General features: G+C 39.8%; 3 protein-coding genes across 4 annotated transcripts in view; 1 reads left to right on the forward strand and 2 right to left on the reverse strand.

The window, feature by feature from the left end:
• Positions 1-2,003, reverse strand: part of OR3A2 (olfactory receptor family 3 subfamily A member 2) — a 110,196-nt gene extending 108,193 nt beyond the window's left edge. For both annotated transcript variants that reach the window (XM_047436157.1, NM_002551.5), the window contains exon 1: positions 1,820-2,003. The gene's annotated coding sequence lies outside the window, so the exon portion shown is untranslated. The remainder of the gene's footprint in view (positions 1-1,819) is intronic.
• Positions 1,625-2,569, forward strand: OR1R1 (olfactory receptor family 1 subfamily R member 1). Its single transcript, NM_001396056.1, has one exon. The coding sequence runs from the start codon at positions 1,625-1,627 to the stop codon at positions 2,567-2,569; it is 945 nt and encodes a 314-aa protein (NP_001382985.1).
• Positions 2,570-12,798: 10,229 nt separating this feature from the next.
• Positions 12,799-14,105, reverse strand: OR1E1 (olfactory receptor family 1 subfamily E member 1). Its single transcript, NM_003553.3, has one exon. It carries the CDS (start codon positions 14,103-14,105, stop codon positions 13,161-13,163), a length of 945 nt encoding a protein of 314 aa, NP_003544.2. The 3' UTR covers positions 12,799-13,160.
• Between the last annotated feature and the right edge of the window lie 6,336 nt (positions 14,106-20,441).

Here is a 20,441-nt window from a genome sequence, read left to right on the forward strand (position 1 = left end):
TGAGAAATTTAAAAGTGTTTTCTCCAGTTGATTTTGTGCACTGAGGACAGAGCAAGGACAAGCCTTTCCCAGTGTCATGTGCGGATGTTTTACTCTCTTCACTCCATGCCTCCTCTGCCAACAACTCCACACAATCTCTTCATGCAGTCTGCAATGCCCTCCCTGTCCCACACAACATCATGTCTGTTTGGTGAACCTGATTCATTCACCAAGACCCAGTTCAAGTCTCTCCTCTTCTTTGAATTCTTCCCAAATTTCTCTAGGAAGAATAATTTACTCCTGCTTGGTTCATGAAATTAATAAAGTATTAAACATGCTGCAAGCTACTGCACGTCAAACTGTTTGGGGGCAGAAGCTAAGACTCATTCATCTTCCTGCTCTCTACAGTATCTAGTACAGGGGTCAGCAAATTGTCCAAATCCAGACCACCACCTGTTTTGCAAATAAAGTTTTATTGGAACAGTACTGTGGCCATTCATTTACTTTTTGTTGATGGCTGCTTTTGCACTGCAACTTCTGAGCTGAGTTGTTGCAACAAGACCATATGGACCACAAGCCTAAAATATTAACTATATGATTCTTTACCAAAAAAAAAAGCTTGTCTGGCCAGGCACAGTGGCTCACGCCTGTAATCCCAGCACTTTGGGAGGCCAAGGCGGGTGGATCACCTGAGATCGGGAGTTCGAGACCAGCCTGACCAACATGGAGAAACCCGGTCTCTACTAAAAAAAATACAAAATTAGCCGGGCGTGGTGGCGCATGCCTGTAATCCCAGCTACTCGGGAGGCTGAGGCAGGAGAATTGCTTGAACCCAGGAGGCAGAGGTTGCGGTGAGCTGAGATCATGCCATTGAACTCCAGCCTGGGCAACAAGAGTGAAACTCCGTCTCAAAATAAATAAATAAATAAATAAATCTTGTCAATTCCTGAAGAACCATATAATGTGTGGTCAACAAATGAATGGTAAATGCAGTAAGGTGCTTTATGAAGAAATTTAGACTGGTACTCAAATGGCCTGGGTCCGAATTCTGCTCCTAATTGTTTAAACAAATAATGATGATTAAGTAAATAGATGTTAGATAGATTACACAGATGATACACAGATCACATAGACAGCAAAGACAGATGGATAGATGATAGAGGAGGATAGATAGATAGATAGATAGAGGAGTTTGGATAGATAGATGATAGAGGAGTTTTGAGTGCTTATTATATGCCAGGCACTGTGCGAAGTATTTTAAACTTATTCACTGTATCCAACAACCAATTCCATGGGTAGCCACTAATATTTTCCTCATTAAAGAAGAAGAAACTGAGGCTCAGAAAGGTCTCAACACCTTTGTGGTAGAGCCAGGATTCAAAGCAGGTCTGACCTACACCAAAGTCTGAGAGTTACCCACTACGCTAGAACACTCTTCTGAGATTCCGTTTCTTCATAAAATTAAGATTATTGGATGAGCAACGTGATTTTCAATCCATTTAGCAAGCAGAAATTTGTATATTTATAAACATATATTAAAATGTATATCTGGAACCTCAACATGCAGGAAGTCTACCCGGAGTTCTAGAATTTCGGCCGGCTGCCTCCTCCCTCCCCTCGGCATTCCCACCTGTCAGTCCACTCCATGGCTCCGACCAACCTCACATCTGCCCCCGTGTTCCTCCTCCTCGGCCTGGTGGACGGAACAGACGCCCACCCGCTGCTGTTCCTGCTCTGCCTTGGCATCTATCTGCTCAACGCCCTGAGCAACCTGAGCATGGTGGCGCTGGTGAGATCCGACGGGGCCCTCCGCTCCCCCATGTATTACTTCTTGGGTCACCTGAGCCTCGTGGACGTCTGCTTTACCACCGTCACGGTCCCCAGGCTGCTGGCCGGCCTGCTCCACCCGGGCCAGGCCATATCCTTCCAGGCGTGCTTTGCCGAGATGTACTTCTTCGTGGCTCTGGGCATCACCGAGAGCTACCTCCTGGCGGCCATGTCCTACGACCGCCCGACGGCGGCGTGCCGGCCCCTGCGCTACGGCGCGCTGGTGACGCCATGGCGCTGCGCCTCGCTGGTGCGTGCGTCGTGGGCCGTGACGCACCTGCACTCGCTGCTGCACACGCTGCTCCTCTCCGCGCTCTCCTACCCCTACCCCACCCCCGTGCGCCCCTTCTTTTGCGACATGACGGTGATGCTGAGCTTGGCGACCTCGGACACGTCCGCCGCGGAGACGGCCATCTTCTCCGAGGGCCTGGCCGTGGTGTTGGCCCCGCTGCTCCTCGTGTTCCTTTTCCTACGCGCGCATCCTGGTCGCGGTGCTCGGCTTGCCGGCGGCCGGCGCCGCGCCTTCTCCACCTGCGGGGCCCACCTAGTGGCGGTGGCGGTGGCGCTTTTCTTTGGCTCTGTCCTCTCCGTGTATTTCCCGCCGTCGTCTGCCTACTCAGCCCGCTACGACCGCCTGGCCAGCGTGGTCTACGCTGTCATCACGCCGACCTTGAACCCTTTCATCAACAGCCTTCGCAACAAAGAGGTCAAGGGCGCCCTGAAAAGGGGGCTCAGATGGAGGGCTGCACCCCAAGAGGCGTGAGGGCAAATCTGGCTCACTGGCATTTTCATGATAACAGTTACAGAAAAAAAAACCTTGTTTTTTGGCTTTCTAAAGCACTATTAATTTCGATCTACCCTGTCTTATTTCTGTTAAATAAGAAATTAGACCCGAAGTAAATATGACAAAGTGTTTACTGTAGTGATAGATACATAGTAGGTTGAATTCGTGTGTTATCTGAATGTGTGAGATAGATTCTACTTTTAAATTTTGGGTAAATGAAAAGACAGCAAATGGAGGTAGACAAATAGTTTGTGAAGAGGGAGAAGAAAGAGTGTGACTAGCAGGAACCCGGTGGGTGGACGGGAAGCCTGTGAAGCAATGGATAATTTTTTTTTTTTTTTGAGATAGTGCCTCCCTCTGGCGCCCACGCTGAGTGCAGTGGTGCCATCTCGGCTCACTACAACTTCCGCCTCCCGGGTTCAAGCTATTCTCCTGCCTCAGTCTCCCAAGTAGCCAGGATTACAGGCACCTGCCACCGCACCCGGCTAATTTTTTTTGTGTTTTCTTTACTAGAGACAGGGTTTCACTATGTTGACCAGGCTGGTCTCGAACTCCTGGCCTCAAGTGATCCCCCTGCCTGGGCCTGCCAAAGTGCTGGGATTACAGGCGTGAGCCTCCGCATCCAGCCCAGGGGAGGATCTTAAAGAGGTGTTTGTTGTTGGATGCCCCTGCAGACTCCTCCTGGAGAAACTTCAAGATCCAGTTATTTTTTAAGTGGCTTAAAATAATTTAAATTCTTTTCCTAGATACTGTATCAACCATTTTTAATGTAAAAATTCAGAGTTGAAGTTCTGTTTGACTACCACCCAAATCAACCTCTACCGCCATCCCAATTATCAGTTGAATCTCTTGCTCTCACCTTCACTCTTGCTCTCACCTTCACTCTTGCTCTCTCGCTCTGATTTTGAAACAAATAGTGTCATTCTATTTATATATATTATTCTGATCTTGAAACATAAATAGTGTCATTCTATTTATATCTATTATTCTTCAGTTTCCTTTTTTTATGAAACAATACATCTAGAAGATCTTGTCTTATTACCACAAATAGAATGCCTTCATTCTTAACTTCATGCTATACAATCCTATACTGTGGATCTTCCACAGTTTAATCACTCCCTTATTAATAAATATTTATGTTTTTCTAATTTTTCACTATTGCAAGGTTGTAATGGAAATTCTTGCAATAAAAATAATAAAAGCTGGTCGGGCATGGTGGCTCACGCCTGTAATCCCAGAACTTTGGGAGGCCGAGGCAGGTGGATCACCTGAGGTCAGAAGTTCAAGAGCAGCCTGGCCAACATGGTGAAACCCTGTCTCTACTAAAAATACAAAAATTAGCTGAGTGTGGTGAAGGGCGCCTGTAATCCCAGCTACTGGGGAGGTTGAGGCAGGAGAATCACTTCAACCCGCAAGGTGGTGGAGGTTGCAGTGAACCGAGATTGTACCACTGCATTCCAGCCTAGGCGACAGAGTGAGACTCTGTCTCAAAAAAAATAAAAATAAAGCTAACATTTAGTGAGGAACTGTTACATGGCAAGCACTTTTAAAAAGAATATAATCACAAAGGAAGATTTTTTAAATCTTTCTAAAACTTCTCAAGTAAATTTAAAAATCAAAATAAGACTTCTACGCAAAGACAAACTGCAAAACCTGGCTCAATATATACAATGTCTGACTAGACCATTAAAATAAATATTTGAGGAGGGAAAACTTAGACTAATAATATAAAATAAGCCAAAAAATTATCTCTAATGAAAGTCTCGAAGCCGACAAGCATATGAAAACATATTCAACATTATTATTCATCAGGGAAATACAAATTAAAATCGTAAGATACTACTACATACCCATCAGAATAGCTAGAAACAAAAGATTGATAGTATCAAATGTTAGCAAGGATGTGGAGAAATTAACACCCTCATATATTGCTAGTAAGAATGTAAAAGAATAAAACTGTTCTGCAAACTATTTGCAGTGCCCAAAGTTTTAATATTTACCCAGCCTACAGCCCAGAAATTTTGCTCCTGAAGTACCCAAAATAAATGAAAACAAAAGATGTGTATTAGAATTCTCACAGAGGCTTCAGTCATAGTAGCTAAAACTGAAAAACCCAAATGTTCATCAGCAGAAAGAATAAGTACGGTGGCATAATCATTTCAATGGTGTACTATGTAGCAGTGAAAAAGATTGAACTCTGATGATTCACACGACATAGATAAATCTTTAAAACATTATGATGAGTAAAAGAATCCAGAAAAAAAAATATTGTATGATTCCATCTATTCAAAGTTCATGAGCTGGCAAATTTCTCTCTGGCAGTAGAAACCAGAGTAGTCATTACCTCTGGATGTGGGTGGGGACTCACGAGGAGGGGGCACAAGGAAAATTTCTGAAGTGACATAAATCCTCTGTATCTTGATCTGTACAGTGGTCACACGGGTGTCAAATTCAGCAAGCTGTACACTTAAGATTCGTGCACTATATTTAAATTATATTACAGTAAAAAAATCCTTGGGTGAGGAAGCTTTCTGGGTTTTTCAAAATTTCAAGGACCAAATACTCCCCTTTTCAGACGCTCAAGGAATAATCCCCAGGCTCTATATAATTCATTCCAGAACCAAAAATTAAGTAAAATTAAAATAGCTAATTTACTAAAGAAGAAAAATACAAGACACGAATACAATTATAGACCAGTTCTATCTGTGAAAATTGATATCAAAATGATGTCTAAAGCACAAATAATCCCATCTTTTCATATTTGAAATCACACTAATATGTTCAATTTAAACATTTAGGATTACCTCATCAGAGGCAAAAAGGCTTCTTAAAAAATCAATACCAGTTCCTGATCAAAGCTCAGAATAAAATAAAAAGCTACATCTTTAACAAAATGTGTTAGAGTCAGCCAAGGCTGTATCTTATCCTCTCTCTGGATGAGAACATTCTTTAATTCTCTAAATGGCAATAAAATGGAAATTATAGGACCCCTAGGTAATCCTATTAAAAGATTTTGCTCTCCCTTTATTCTTTATCAACTATAATACCAGGTATAATGTACACTGCTCCCAGCGAGGATTCTTCAATGCTTCAAACAGCTTCAGTGCCTCTGAACTCAGCAGTGGATTGCTTGCCCTGGACCTACCATCTAAGTCTCTGCTAGCAGCACTGAATGACTCGTACATAACAACGACATTGTAGTTACATACGAGAATGTTCTTTTGAGGAGATTCAGAACTCTAAATTATATAGTGATGAAGTGTCTTGATGTCTGAACATTATCTCAAGAGGCTCAGCCATTAAAAAAGAATAAAAAAGAAAGAAATAGGGTTGGGGAGAGTATAAATAAGAAAGAGAGGGAGGGAGGGAGGAACAGAGAGAAATTGACATATGCTACAAAAATGAGCAAATGGAATGTGGCCTGATTTGAGAAATTTATGGAGTGTGAGAAAGGGAAACTAATTTGACATTAAGCTTGTAACCTTTGCTCTGACTATCACAGGTTTAATAATGTAGGATTTTTTTTTAAATCTATGAGTTCAATCATACATCTTGCTTCTGAAGTGGTAATATTTACATAATTATAATATTATAAATTTTGTTTTCCATTTTTATTTTTAAAAACAAATCTCTCATTTCGTGTATATTGATTGTGGCATATAAACTTCAAACTTGCTACAAAATTCTTGGTCTTACTAAAGTGCAGAATAAGGAAAAAAAGAAACGATGATGTTCCAGATATAATAGCAGAAAACTGTTTAGAAATGCAAGTGCAGACTTGAAAATCAAAAGGAAACTTTTGTGCTATAAAAAATTATAATAAAAGTCAGCAAATACAAAAATATAGACTGATGAAAAAATAATCCTACATGCATCAGTGGGGGGAAAGATGACCATATAAGAAGTAGAGAAAAGAGAGAATATCAGCCTTACTTCAGATTTTTTCACAGCTATTTCAGAAAATGAGTTATAGATGAGAGAACAGATGTCCACAAATTTTATACCTAGCTAAGTCATCCTTCAGATATATAAATACATATGCAAAAGAAAAATCTAAAATATGTGAAAATTCAATAAATATAACATGGATGTACTAGTCCTTTAAAAATGACTTGATGCAATGCAACCAACCAAGGAATTAGTCAAAATTAAAAACTCGAGAATTTAAAAGTCATAATATTAAAAGGATGGTATGTAAAAATTTATTTAACAATAATAAAGAAAAATATGTGTTATGGTAATAAATGCAGATAGCATGCTTTATCTTTTAATAACAAAGTTGAATTTAAGGCAAACAGCATTACAGAGACCAAAATTCACTGCTATAATAAAGGAAATAAAAAGATTGTTTTAGGGTAAGGCCAGGTTGGAAAAGACAATATAGGTATAAAAAATATATCAGGAAAAAATGATATGACAGAGATAGAATGATTTTAACATTTTAGTAAGAATAAGTTAAGAAGGAAACATATGGATCAATAGAACAGAATAGAATCCAGAAACAGAACCAACCATCTTGAGTTAATTTTTGTATATGGTGTAAGGAAGGGGTCCAGTTTTAATCTTCCACATTTGGCTAGCCAGTTATCCCAGCACCATTTATTGAATATGGAATTCTTTCACCATTGCTTGTTTTTGACAGCTTTGTTGAAGATCAGATAGTTATAGGTATGCAATCTTATTTCTGGGTTCTGTATTCTCTTCTATTGGTCTATGTGTCTGTTTTTGTACCAGTACCACGCTGTTTTGGTTACTGTACCCCTGCTGTATAGTTTGAAGTGATGCCTCCAGCTTTGCTCTTTTTGCTTTAGATTGCCTTGACTATTTGGGCTCTTTTTTGGCTCCATATGAATTTTAAAATCGTTTTCTCTAGTTCTGTGAAGAATGTCAATGTTTAGTTTAGTTTATAGGAATAACACTGAATCTATAAATTGCTTTGGGCAATATAGCCATTTTAATAATATTTATTCTTCCTATCCATGAACATGGAAGGTTTTTCCGCTCATTTGTGTCATCTCTGATTTCTCTGAGCAGTGGTTTGTAGTTCTCCTTGTAAAGACCATTCACCTCCCTAGTTAGCTGTATTCACAGATATTTTATTCTTTTTGTGGCAGTTGTGAATGGGAGTGGATTCCTGACTTGGCTCTCTGCTTGACTGTTGTTGGTGTATAGGAGAACACCTGGACACAGAGGGGAGCAACACACACTGGGGACTATTGGAAGGTAGAGAATGGGAGGAGGGAGAGGATCAGGAAAAATAACTAGGGTTATTTTTCTACAAGTTACCCAGATAATTAAATAGTGAAAAGGATAGCATTTTTCAACAATTCATGGTCTAAAACTGGATACATCCCCAAAACTATCAAAAGTGAAAGAATGAACAAATCACGGTGTCTTTATACAATGGAATACTACTCAGTAATAAAAAAGTCACTGATCTACACAATTACATATGGGTACTAGGCTTAATATCTTGGAGATGAAATAATCTGTACAACAAACCCCCATGATACAAGTTTACCTGTGTAACAAACCTGCACATGTACCCCTGAACTTAAAAGTTAAAAAAAATAGATCCAACTATATATGGTCAACTGACTTTCTACAAGTTACCCAGATAATTAAATAGGGAAAATGATAGCATTTTTCAACAATTCATGGTCTAAAACTGGATACATCCCCAAAACTATCAAAAGTGAAAGAATGAACAAATCACGGTGTCTTTATACAATGGAATACTACTCAGTAATAAAAAAGTCACTGATCTACACAATTACATGATGAAATCTACAAAACATTATGCAGAGCTGAAGTAGCCAGATACAAAGAGTACATACTAAATGATTCCACTTATGTGAAGTTCAAAGCAGGCAAATCTCATTTGCAGTGATATAAATCAGATAGATAAAAATCAGATTAGTGGCAGGAAGAGCTTAATTGCAAGGGTACACATTGAATTATGAAGTGATGGAGTTATTCTAGATTTGGATTGGGGTAGAGGTTACATGACATAAAAGTCCCCTATTCCCACATCATTGCTATTACCATAGAAGGTCAATCATTTCTAAATTTTCCAAGTATGTGGTCATTCAATAATCCCTTATTGTTTTTCAACGGTTTTTTTGTTTGTTTGTTTTGTTTTGTTGTGCTTTGCTTTGTTTTGTTTTTGTTTTTGAGACACAGTCTCACTGCAATGCCCAGGCTGGAGTGCAGTGGCACTATCTCAGCTCACTGCAACCTCCGCCTCCTGGGTTCAAGCAATTTTCTTGCCTCAGCCTTTTGAGTAGCTGGGATTATAGGTGCGTGCCACCACGCCCAGCTAATTTTTGTATTTTTAGTAGAGACAGGGTTTCACTGTATTGACCAGGCTCATCTTGAACTCCTGACCACGAGTGATCCGCCCATCTCAGCCTCCCAAAGTGCTGGGATTACAGGTGTGAATCACCGCACCCAGCCTTTTTCAAGTTTTTTTCCTGGTTAACACTAAAGCTGAACGTCTTCTTATATTGTTTATTCTTTATGAATTTTCTGTTAATATTCTTTGTACATTTTTATTCAGTTGTGTTTTATTTTTATTAGATTATAGGAGCTCTTTGTATATTTTAAATTTCAATCTCGTGTTTATTAGACATGTTATAGCCTGTTACTTCTTTTTCAAATTTCTGTTATCTTTTGTCCCAGAAAACTTTCCTATTTCTATCTGGTCAAATATGTCAACATTTTTATACAGCTTCTGAGTTTTGCATAAATTATAAATATTATTTTATATTAGAGTATTTTTATAGATTGTAATTTAAGTTTAGCTTTTTAAGGCACCTAAAATATAATTTACTTGTACTGTAAAAATTTCATTTACTATTTTCCCATGTCAATTCCCCGGTAGTATATCCCTTCTCCCATTGATTTTCTTAATCACAAAATAAATCCTCTGAGTTTTGCATAAATTATAAATATTTTTTATATTAGAGTATTTTTGTAGATTGTAGTTTAAGTTTAGCTTTTTAAGCCATCTAAAATATAATTTACTTGTACTGTAAAAATTTCATTTAATATTTTCCCATGTCAATTTCCCTGGTAGTGTATCTCTTCTCCCATTGATTTTCTTAATTACAAAATAAATCCTCACATACACAGGACTATTTTTAATGTTCTTTTCACTCAATTGATCTTTTTTGTCAATTCCTGAATAAATACATACTGTTTTAATTATTGGGTTTTTTCAAATATGTATTGATACTTGGTAGAAAAAGAACGAATTTATGGTTCCTATTTTTCAAATATTTCTTATAAATTTTACCTTTTTGTCTTTCAAGAGAACTTGAGAATAAACTTGTCCATCTCCACAAAAATAATTCCACTGGGAATTTTATTTGGATTGCATTGAATGTATTTGAGTAGAGTTGCTTTTGTGAAAGTACTGAGGTTTCAAAACATATTAAGTGGTACAGTTTTAATTAGACTGATTTTATTGCATAAAAATTAATCTTTAAAAAACTGTTAAAATTGAGGTACCCTTTCCAGAGTCATTATATATGTTCATTTCTTGTAGTATCTTTTATACCTTTTATTAAATTTTTAAAGGTTTCTTCCTTAGTTCTTGTACTTACCTTTACTTGCTATTAAGAATTAAATCCATTTTTTATTGATTTTTAAATTGGGTTTTTCTGGCATAAAGGAAAGTGATTTAAAGATCAATCTTTTTTCCTGCCTCTAATACCTCTGATGTATTATGCACTGAGAAACTGGTGTTACCCTAATGACCATATGGAGATTAATAAAGTATTTCAGGAAATATTAAATGAAAAAGGTGAAATTCAAAATGGTATATATACACATATAGAAGTGGTTGGTCAGGTAACTGGATGGGAGGAGACATCATAAATACCAATATGGGATCAATGACAAAGAAGAGACTTGGATGGAACATGAAAAGTTTAATGCTGTGCGTGTTGAAACTGAACTGCCCATAGAGTCTCAAGAAGAGGTATCTATTAGGCAGATAAGAAGAACAGTTGGAAGTTCTGGAGAAAGGCTGGGCTTCAGATAGAGCTGTGGAGGTCGGCAGAACATACAGAAGGATGAAAGTGATGGGCTTGGATCACATCACTTAGAGGGCACAACTAAGAATACAAACTGAGTGGGGCGCAGTGGCTCACGCCTGTAATCCCAGCACTTTGGGAGGCCGAGGTGGGCAGATCACTTGAGGTCAGGAGTTCGAGACCACCCTGGTCAACATGGTGAAACTCCATCTCTACTAAAAATATATAAATTAGCTGGGCGTGGAGAGGTGGGGCAGGAGTGGGGGGTGCCTGTGGTCCCAGCTACTCGGGAAGCTGAGGTGGGAGAATCGCGTGAGCCCAAGAGGTGGGAGAATCATGTGAGCCCAGGAGGCGGAGGTTGCAGTTACCCGAGATGATGCCATTGCACTCCAGCCTGGGCAACAGAGCGAGACTTATTTAAAAAAAAAATAAATAAATAATAATAATAATAATAATAATAATAAAGAATACAAATTGACCAATGTTGGAAACTTACGCCACAAGTGGAGTTAAGAGTTTTAAAAAGATCTATATTCCTTTGGGCATATACCCAATAATGGGATTGCTGGGTCAAATGGTATTTCTGGTTCTAGATCCTTGAGGAATCGCCACACTGTCTTCCACAATGGTTGAACTAATTCACACTCCTATGAATGGCTGCTCCCTTTCTTTCTAAAGTGAGAGAAAATGAGAATAAACTGCAGAATCAGATAGTCTGGAATTTTATAAAAGCTCAACAATTGACACACTGTGTGATGTAGAAAGTTGCTGAGCTACGTACTTTTCAGCATGTAACACAGTGTTAGCATCTTCTCTACTTCCTGGGATCTGTCATGAGGGTAAAATACAAATAGAAATATGAAGTTATTTTGTAACATCCAAAATACCAAACAGAAGAGAGACATTCTTTTTATTTATTTTATTTTATTTATTTATTTTTGAGAAGGAGTCTTGCTCTGTCACCCAGGCTCGAGTGCAGTGGCGCAATCTGGGCTCACTGCAAGCTCCGCCTCCCAGGTTCACGCCATTCTCCTGCCTCAGCCTCCCGAGTAGCTGGGATACAGGTGCCCGCCACCACGCCCGGCTATTTTTTTGTATTTTTAGTAGAGACAGGGTTTTACCGTGTTAGCCAGGATGGTCTTGATCTCCTGACCTTGTGATCCACCTGCCTCAGCCTCCCAAAGTGCTGGGATTACAGGTGTGAGCCATCACGCCTGGCCAGAAGATAGACATTCCTTAAAACTGAGCTTTTTTAAATTTACCAGCAACTAGCTTCTTTCCTGGTGAAATAAATTTTAGGGCCTCAGGGTATTAGTTAATTCCAGGTAAAGACGAAATACACCGTTGTAGTAAAAGTGTTAGAAAAATGTATTGAAGGTCAGACCAGGTGAGAAAAGTCTATGGAGATGTGAAAATAAATCAGGAGGAGGGAGAAGAGGTAAAATGGTGTGAAAATTTGTGCAGGGAGAATATGTAGGAGACACTCAAAGGGCGGCTGGGAGGTTAAGCTGTTTAGATCTTATTTAGCACTAACCTAAGATTATAGAGCACTATTTAGAAATGATTCTATCCATGCACTTTGGAAGGCCTAGGTGAGCGGATCACAAGGTCAGGAGTTCAAGACCTGCCTGGCCAACATGGTGAAACCCCATCTCTAAAAATATAAAAATTAGCCCGACGTGGTGGCATTTGCCTGTAATCCCAGCTACTCGGGAGGCTGAGGCAGGAGAATTGCTTGAACCCAGGAGGCGGGGGTTGCAGTGAGCCAAGATCATGCCATTGCACTCCAGCCTGGGTGACAGAGCAAGACTCAGTCTCATAAATAAATAAATAAATAAATAAAAATAAAATGATTCCACAAGCCAGGCATGGTGCCTCACACCTGTAATCCCAGCACTTTGAAAGTCCAAGGTGGGAGGATCACTTGAGGCCAGGAATTCAAGACCAGCCTGAGAAACTTAGGGAGACCTCATCTCTACAAAAAAATCTTAAAATTAGCTGGGCGTAGTGGTGCATGCCTGTAGTCCTAGCTACTTGGGAGGCTGAGGCAGGAGAATCCCTTGAGTCCAGAAGGTTGAGGTTACAGTGAGCCACGATTGTGCCACTGCACTCCAGCCTGGGCAACAGAGTGAGACCCTGTGCGAAATAGAAAATAAAAATAAACAAAAAATTTAAAAATTTTTTTAATTAAACAAAAATGATTCTACAATCAAAGCAAAATTCTGAGTAACATAACAAAATCCTGTGATAATTTAAGAATGTGGGGCATGAAGACCATTTAAAACAGTTGTTCTTAAACTACATTTTTCCAAGATCACCTTGGGAAGACAAACAGGAAGTCTTAGCCAGGTCACCAAGACCCTCTTCCCTAGTTCAACTACTCAGCTATGCTTCATCTCCACTACATATTGAAAAATTATGTACGATGCCATTTCAACAAAAGGATGGTGAGGAAATAATTTAGAATAATATTCCAATATTAATATCAATATTTTACTGGATAAACTATGTAATAGCTCCAAGTGTTATCATCAGAGAGAGAAGAAAGTTTTCTTCTGATGAATGACTCTGCTCAGGGCTCCCTTCATGTCTCTGTTCCTCAGGCTGTAGATGAAGGGGTTCAGCATGGGGGTCACCACAGTGTACATCATAGCCATGACAGTGTCCTTTAGAGTAGAACTATTAGCTGATGAGCATAAGTAGAGACCAATAACGGTTCCATAGAACAGTGACACCACAGACAGGTGGGAGCCACAAGTAGAGAAGGCCTTGCAGATACCCTTAGAAGAAGGGACCTTGAGGATGGAGGAGACAATTCTTGCATAGGACCCAAGGATGAGTAGGAATGGGATGACAAGAATGAGCCCTCCCATGATAAATATCACCCATTCATTAACTCGAGTGTCAGAGAAGGCCAGCTTCAGCAGAGCAGACATATCACAGAAAAAGTGGGGGATCACATTGTCTGCACAAAAACACAACCTGGCCATGAGTAAAGTGTGTAACATGGCATGGAAGGTGGTCAGCACCCAGGACAGCGCCACCAGGGCGAGACAGAGCATGGGGCTCATGATGGCGGTGTAGTGCAGGGGGAAGCAGATGGCCACATAGCGGTCATAGGCCATGGCCACAAGGAGGAAGCTCTCCAGGTCTCCAAATAACAGGAAGAAGTACATTTGGGTCAGGCAGTCCGCATAGGGGATGGATGGGTCCTGGTTCTGCATGTTCTGTAACAACTTGGGAATGGTCACGGAAGAGAAGCAGAGGTCAGAGAAGGACAAGTTGCTGAGAAACAAATACATAGGCGTGTGGAGATGGGAGTCCAGTCGAATGAGGACAATGATGAGGAGGTTCCCCAGGAGGGTGGTAAGATACATGGCCAAGAACAGGGCATAGCACAGGTTTTGCTGCTCTGGTTGGATGGGCAGGCCCAGGAGCAGGAAGTCTGAGATGCTGGTTTGATTTTGTCCCATCATGCTCTGTCTCCAGTATCTTTAATGGAAAAACAACAGTATCCTTTAAAATCTGAATTTTAAAATGGAGATATTTCTGTGACACTTGGTCTGCTGAGTGTTCTGCGAAAATTATTTAACTGACATTATAATAATCATCTCTATACCACAAATATCTATAATTAGAATCTCTATAATCAGAAATGACTTAACTTTATCTTTTTTCTCTTCATTTATCTTTAACATGTAACAATATTCCATCCTTTCTAAAATACTCATCTATTTACTTCTGAAACATAAAGTGTGTTGGTTTCTCTCTTACCTGCCTCACCAGTAACTGCAGTTGGCTCCTCCTCTGTCAGTATCTTACATGTTGATATTCCTCAGGGATTTTTCTAAACTTCATTTTTTTTTTATAATTCTGCATAATGGCCAATAAAAACACATCTACTCCAATGGCTTTAATTGCCATTTAAAACTCAGGTGTAGGCTGGGCGCAGTAGCTCACACCTGTAATTCCAACATTTTGGGAGGCTGAGGTGGGTGGATCACCTGAGGCTAGGAGTTTGAGACCGGCCTGGCCAACATGGTGAAACCTTGTCTCTACTAAAAATACAAAAATTAGCCTGGTGTGGTGGCGGGTGCCTGTAATTCAGCTACTCAGGAGGCTGAGGCAGGAGAATTGCTTGAACCTGGGAGGCAGAGGCTGCAGTGAGCCAAGTTTGTGCCATTGTACTCCAACCTGGGTGACAGAGTAAGACTCTGTCAAAGAAAGAAAAGAAAGAAAGAAAGAAAGAAAGAAAGAAAGAAAGAAAGAAAGAAAGAAGGAAGGAAGGAAGGAAGGAAGGAAGGAAGGAAGGAAGGAAGGAAGGAAGGAAAGGAAAGGAAGAAAGAAAGAAAGAAAGAGAAAGAAAGAAAGAAAGAAAGAAAGAAAGAAAGAAAGAAAGAAAGAGAAAGAAAGAAAGAAACAAACAAACAACTCAGGTGTTCAGGTGTAGCGTTCTCTAGTATACAGAACTTAGTATCCTGAGTCTCAATGATTAACATCTCTTGGATGGATCACAGGCATCTTTGGCTTGACAGATCCTAAATGACATTCTGATCTCACCCTGCTCCTCTTCTAACTCCATCCTCCTCCACTCTCTCATGTTTGGTGAATGGAATCCAGGCTCAAGTCAGAAACCTAAGGTTTGATTTCATTAATTCATTTCTCTCACAGTCAATATCCAATCTAGCAAGTCCTACAGATTCTGCACTTCATTCTCTTTCTAATTCATCCACTCCTTATCCCAACTACCACAACCCTAAACCAGGTGGAAATCTTGTATTACCTGGACTATTGAAACTGCTTCTCAATTCATCTTCCTGCCCCTGTGTTTCAACAACCTTCTCTTCCAACAATCTTCATTTACACTGTGGCATTCTGAGATGAAAATCTGATCATCCCTCTCTTGTGATTAAATATTTCGTGGATTATCATTGTTCTTAAGATAGAGGCAAAATTCCTTTCAAGAGCACAAAGGATGTTTCATTACCTGACCAACACCTGCCTCCACAGCCTCACCTGGCCCCACAATGACTCTTGCATCCTCTTTTCAGCAATGCTGGACTTATACGTCATAATTTCTTGCCTCCAGCCTTTCATACTTGCTATTCCTCCTACCTAGCACCTATCCCCGCTATGCCCTGTCTTCATCCGGCTCATTCTCACTTATCCTTCAGGTCTATTACATGTAACTTGCTCAGCTAAACCTTCCCTGTGTCTCTGTAAACCAAGTGAGACCTGCTTCTATGCTTCCGCAGCATCTCATACTCATCCAATAGCACTCCATGCTTTGACTACCTGTTGACAGCTGACTTCCTTACCAGACTGTAAACTCTGTGCCTGAAAGGCCATGTCTGCCTTCATAACTGCAGCAAGACAGTTGCGGCACTTGGCGTGGTGCCCAGATATTGCTGATGTTTTCTAAATAGCTGTTGGCTGTCTCTCAGGCTGGAACGTGCATTCCTCCAACTTAAAAGGTAGCAAATGGCCAGTAAGTTAGAATAACTACTTCTACTAAATCCTCCTGGAATAAGAACTCATTACCTTTAGCAATTTAACACTACATTTTGACACTCTGTTGCTGATTTCACCAATGTAATTTTGTGCCCGTGGAAAATATTAGGGTATCTCAGATATACTACTCTTTTCACAAATACAAATGACCCAAACCAAACATTCTTATGCTCAAATCTACATCATGTCATTGAAATTGGTGTGAGAAAAACAAATATGATAATAATTTTATAAATGTTGGGACAAACAGAAAGAAGAAGGATAATTTCCAACCTCAAGCCCTCATTTGAGTTCATCCTCAGATATTCATATCCCATGTGATGGTTAATTTTTATTTTTTTTATTTTTAAGTTCTGGGATACATGTGCAGAATGTGCAGATTTGTTACATAGGTATACATGTGCCATGGTGGTTTGCTGCACCCATCAACCCGACATCTAGGTTTTAAGCCCCACACAGATTAGGTATTTGTCCTAATGCTCTCCCTCCCTTTGCCCCCAACCCCCCAACAGGCCCGGCTGTGTGTTGTTCCCCTCCCTGTGTCCACGTGTTCTCATTGCTCAACTCCCACTTATGAGTGAGAACATGAGGTGTTTGGTTTTCTGTTCCTGTGTTAGTTTGCTGAGAATGATGGTTTCCAGCTTCATCCATGTCCCTGCAAAGGACATGAACTCATTCTTTTTTATGGCTGCATAGTATTCCATGGTGTATATGTGCCACATTTTCTTTATCCAGTCTATCACTTGGCTAGGCCCTGGTACCAAGTTTTGGTCAAATGCCAGTTCTAGATGTTGTGGTAAAGGTATTTTGTAATATGATTTACGCTTAAATCAGTAGACTTTGAGTAAAGCAGACTCCCCCTATTATGTGATAAGCCTCATAGAATTAGTTGAAGGCCTTAAGAGAAAAGACCACAGTCTCCTGAAGAAGAAAGAATTATGCCTTCAGACTGCTCAGACTCAAGACTGTAACATCAACTCTTTCCCTGGGTCTCCAGACTGCTTACCTACCCTGTGGATTTCAGACTTACCCATGCTCACAATCTTGTGAGCCAATTTCTTAAAAGAATCTCTCTCTCTCTCTGCCTTGATAGATATAGATAGGTAGATAGATAGATAGATAGATAGATAGATAGATAGATAGATAGATAGATAATGATAGATGATAGAGATAGGTAGATGACGATAGGTGACAGATGATAGATAGATAGATAGATAGATGATAGATAGATAGATAGATAATAGATAGATACAGGTAGAGAGATAGATTAGAGATAGATAGATATAGATAGATGATGATAGATGACAGATAGATGATAGACAATAGATAGATGATAGATAGCTAGAGGTAGAGAGATAGATTAGAGACGATAAATAGATATTTAGTTAATAGATAGATAGACAGACAGACAGACTATGCTTATGGTTCTGACTTCTGGAGAACCATAAAATTGTCTGTAAAGCTTCACAGATAATTTTAAAACAAAACAAGGCTTGAGAATGACTGCATTAAAGCATACCTCACAGAGCTGTCATTATACCAAAATGATAGGATCTTGTGAGGATATATTGCACAATAAGAAATATTTGTAAGTGCTATCATTACCAATGACTGTAACTGGAAAACATTAGTTAAAATACTTCTGGAATGTTGGAAAGTCGTGGGAGGCAAATACATAGAAAAGAGGAAAGTTATTATGACTGAAAAAATATCCTGCAGAACATCCTACACCTGGGAAATCAAGACCCTCAGGCTGGAAGGACACCAAGAATCAGCTCATTCACCCTTCTGCCCAACTCACCCAGCATCTCAAGGTAACTCCACAGTCCTGACCTGACATCCTGCTCCATTTTATCCATTACGACACGTAAAGTAACAGTCTCTGTAGTTGTCCCCTGTGTCTGGACAACTCCTTCTCACATCTCCCCTTCTACCCATCCCTGAGCCTCAGGGACCCTGCATCCCAGAGGAATCCAGATTCCAGAGTAACTCATTAAAGACACAGTAATTACCCTGGACCTCTCTAGAATAAATTTGCTCAGACTCCTACAGCAGTAACTAATTACCGTACATGTCATCTGTCACTGTAATCAGTCACTGATCGCACCTGACTGTATTTAGGGCTATCATGAGGACGGAGCTCATGGATGGATGCTTAATCACTGCCTGCTTAGGAAATGGAGAGTAGCCCTGTGTGGCTGCAGCCTACATTTTGGGACTTGAAAAAGAATGGCCATAAAAGACTGTGAATGGCCTCAAATATCTTAGACGTATAACATTTACACAATAAATTGACACAAAAAGGTAATGGTCTTTAAGCAGAGTAACCACTATGAAAGACACATGCTTTGTAAAGATATCCAGGTGGTAGCGTCTCACTAAAACTCAGCTTCCCATAAAAATACCCCAGGATCAGACATCTGTGACTCAATCATAAGCAGATACATAGAAAAGAGATGAAAAGAAGAAAAAATGAGCTCTCTCAGGTCATGCTCAATTCTTCCTCAGGCCAAAACAGAAAAAGAAACCCAAATTCCCACCCGCTTAGTTACTTTTATCTCCTTCTCTCTCTAGGAAAACTTGATAGCACTCATCACTACCATTGTGCCAACCGCTCTCCACCTATGTCAGATTACCTCCTAATGCCATGTTCTTCCTGTCCCTACAATGGCTCACAAGGCCACAGTGGACATTTATATTTTTTTCTTCCACTACCCGTTCTACGTTCCCCTTTCTTTTGGCCATTATCAGCTGGGTGACATTCTCCACACAGTGGTAACAGTGCAAACTTTCATCCCTAGGAAATCTGCATCCCATAAGCCTTGCTTTCTCAAGTTGTTATATTTTTTCTTAAACTTTATTGATGCACATGGAAATACTAAGTGGCAACCAAATAATTCTCCAGGATTTTAGACATGGGCCTCTCTTTTCCAGTTGTGTAGAACAACCAAATTTTCCCCTGGTAATCAATATCAATCACACTAGGCAGAATGACAACCCTATTCTTTGTATATTGGCTTACATGAGTACCAAAAAATGACTGGGTGGTAGGCTTAACCTCCAATCCAGTGAAGCCACTGTTACATCACCTGGTAGAAGAACACATCCCTTGAGATCTATAGGAGACACTTATGACACACTATTTTAGGTTCTCTCAGCCTCATCTGGTATTTCAGCCACAGCTGAAGGAACCAGTTCTGCGATGGCTTCAGCTAGCTTTAGTGGGTGCAACTGAAAGCACCTCAGCTCCTTGCTGCTACATAACTTCCTTGCCTCCTTTTCTGGGACTTGTACGACCCCACAGATGTCGTGGTGAATCTTTAGCACTCACACACATATTAAGGCCTGTGATCCACTTTGAACTCGTTGTAGAGTGTTAAATGTTAAATTGAGGTTACATTTTATTTCTTCTGCATATGGAAACCCAATTTTTCCAGCGCCATTTGTGGAAGACTAGTCTTCACTGAATTGCTTCTGTACCTTTGTCAAAAATCAGTGAATGATCAGCACCAGCATGGCACATATATACATATGTAACTAACCTGCACAATGTGCACATGTACCCTAAAACTTAAAGTATAATAAAAATAAATAAATAAATAAATAAATAAATAAATAAATAAATAATCAGTGAATGATACATGAGTAGATCTATTTCTGGACTCTTTATAGTATTATATACCCTCAATACTCATCTACATTTCTATCCTTTGTCTAATACTACACTTACCTCATTATTGTAACTTAATAGTTAATTTGGAAACAAGACAATGTTAGTCCTTCTACATTGTTCTCCTCTTTCAAAACTGATTTTGGGTGTATTTGTCTTTACACATAAATTTTATAATCAGATTGTCAAATCATGCACAAAAATTTCTGTCAGAATTTTTATTAGAATTTTGTTAACTCTCCAGATCAGTTGCTGAAGAGTCAACATCTTAAGAGTGTTGAGTTTTCCAATCTGTAAAAATGTTGTATCTACCCATTTCTTTTTATTTGATTTTAAGTTCTGGGGTACGTGTACAGGATGCTCAGGTTTGTTACATAGGTAAATGTGGGCCATGGTGGTTTGCTGCACATATCAACCCATCTCCCAGTTATTAAGCCCAGCATGCATTAGCTATTTTTCCTGATGCTCTCCCTCCCCTGATCCCACCCCCTATAAGCCCCCGATGTGTGTTGTTCCCCTCCCTGTGTCCATGTGTTTTCATTGTTCAGCTACCACTTATAAGTGAGAATATGTGGTACTTGGTTTTCTGTTCCTGCATTAGTTTGCTGAGGATAATGGCTTCCAGCTCCAT

The sequence above is a fragment of the Homo sapiens genome, chromosome 17 (assembly GCF_000001405.40).
Source record: "Homo sapiens chromosome 17, GRCh38.p14 Primary Assembly".
Lineage (NCBI taxonomy): Eukaryota > Metazoa > Chordata > Mammalia > Primates > Hominidae > Homo > Homo sapiens.

Coding starts and splice junctions, on each gene's coding strand:
- OR1R1 (NM_001396056.1), top strand. CDS start 1,625: ATGGCTCCGACCAACCTCACATCTGCCCCCGTGTTCCTCCTCCTCGGC.
- OR1E1 (NM_003553.3), bottom strand. CDS start 14,105: ATGATGGGACAAAATCAAACCAGCATCTCAGACTTCCTGCTCCTGGGC.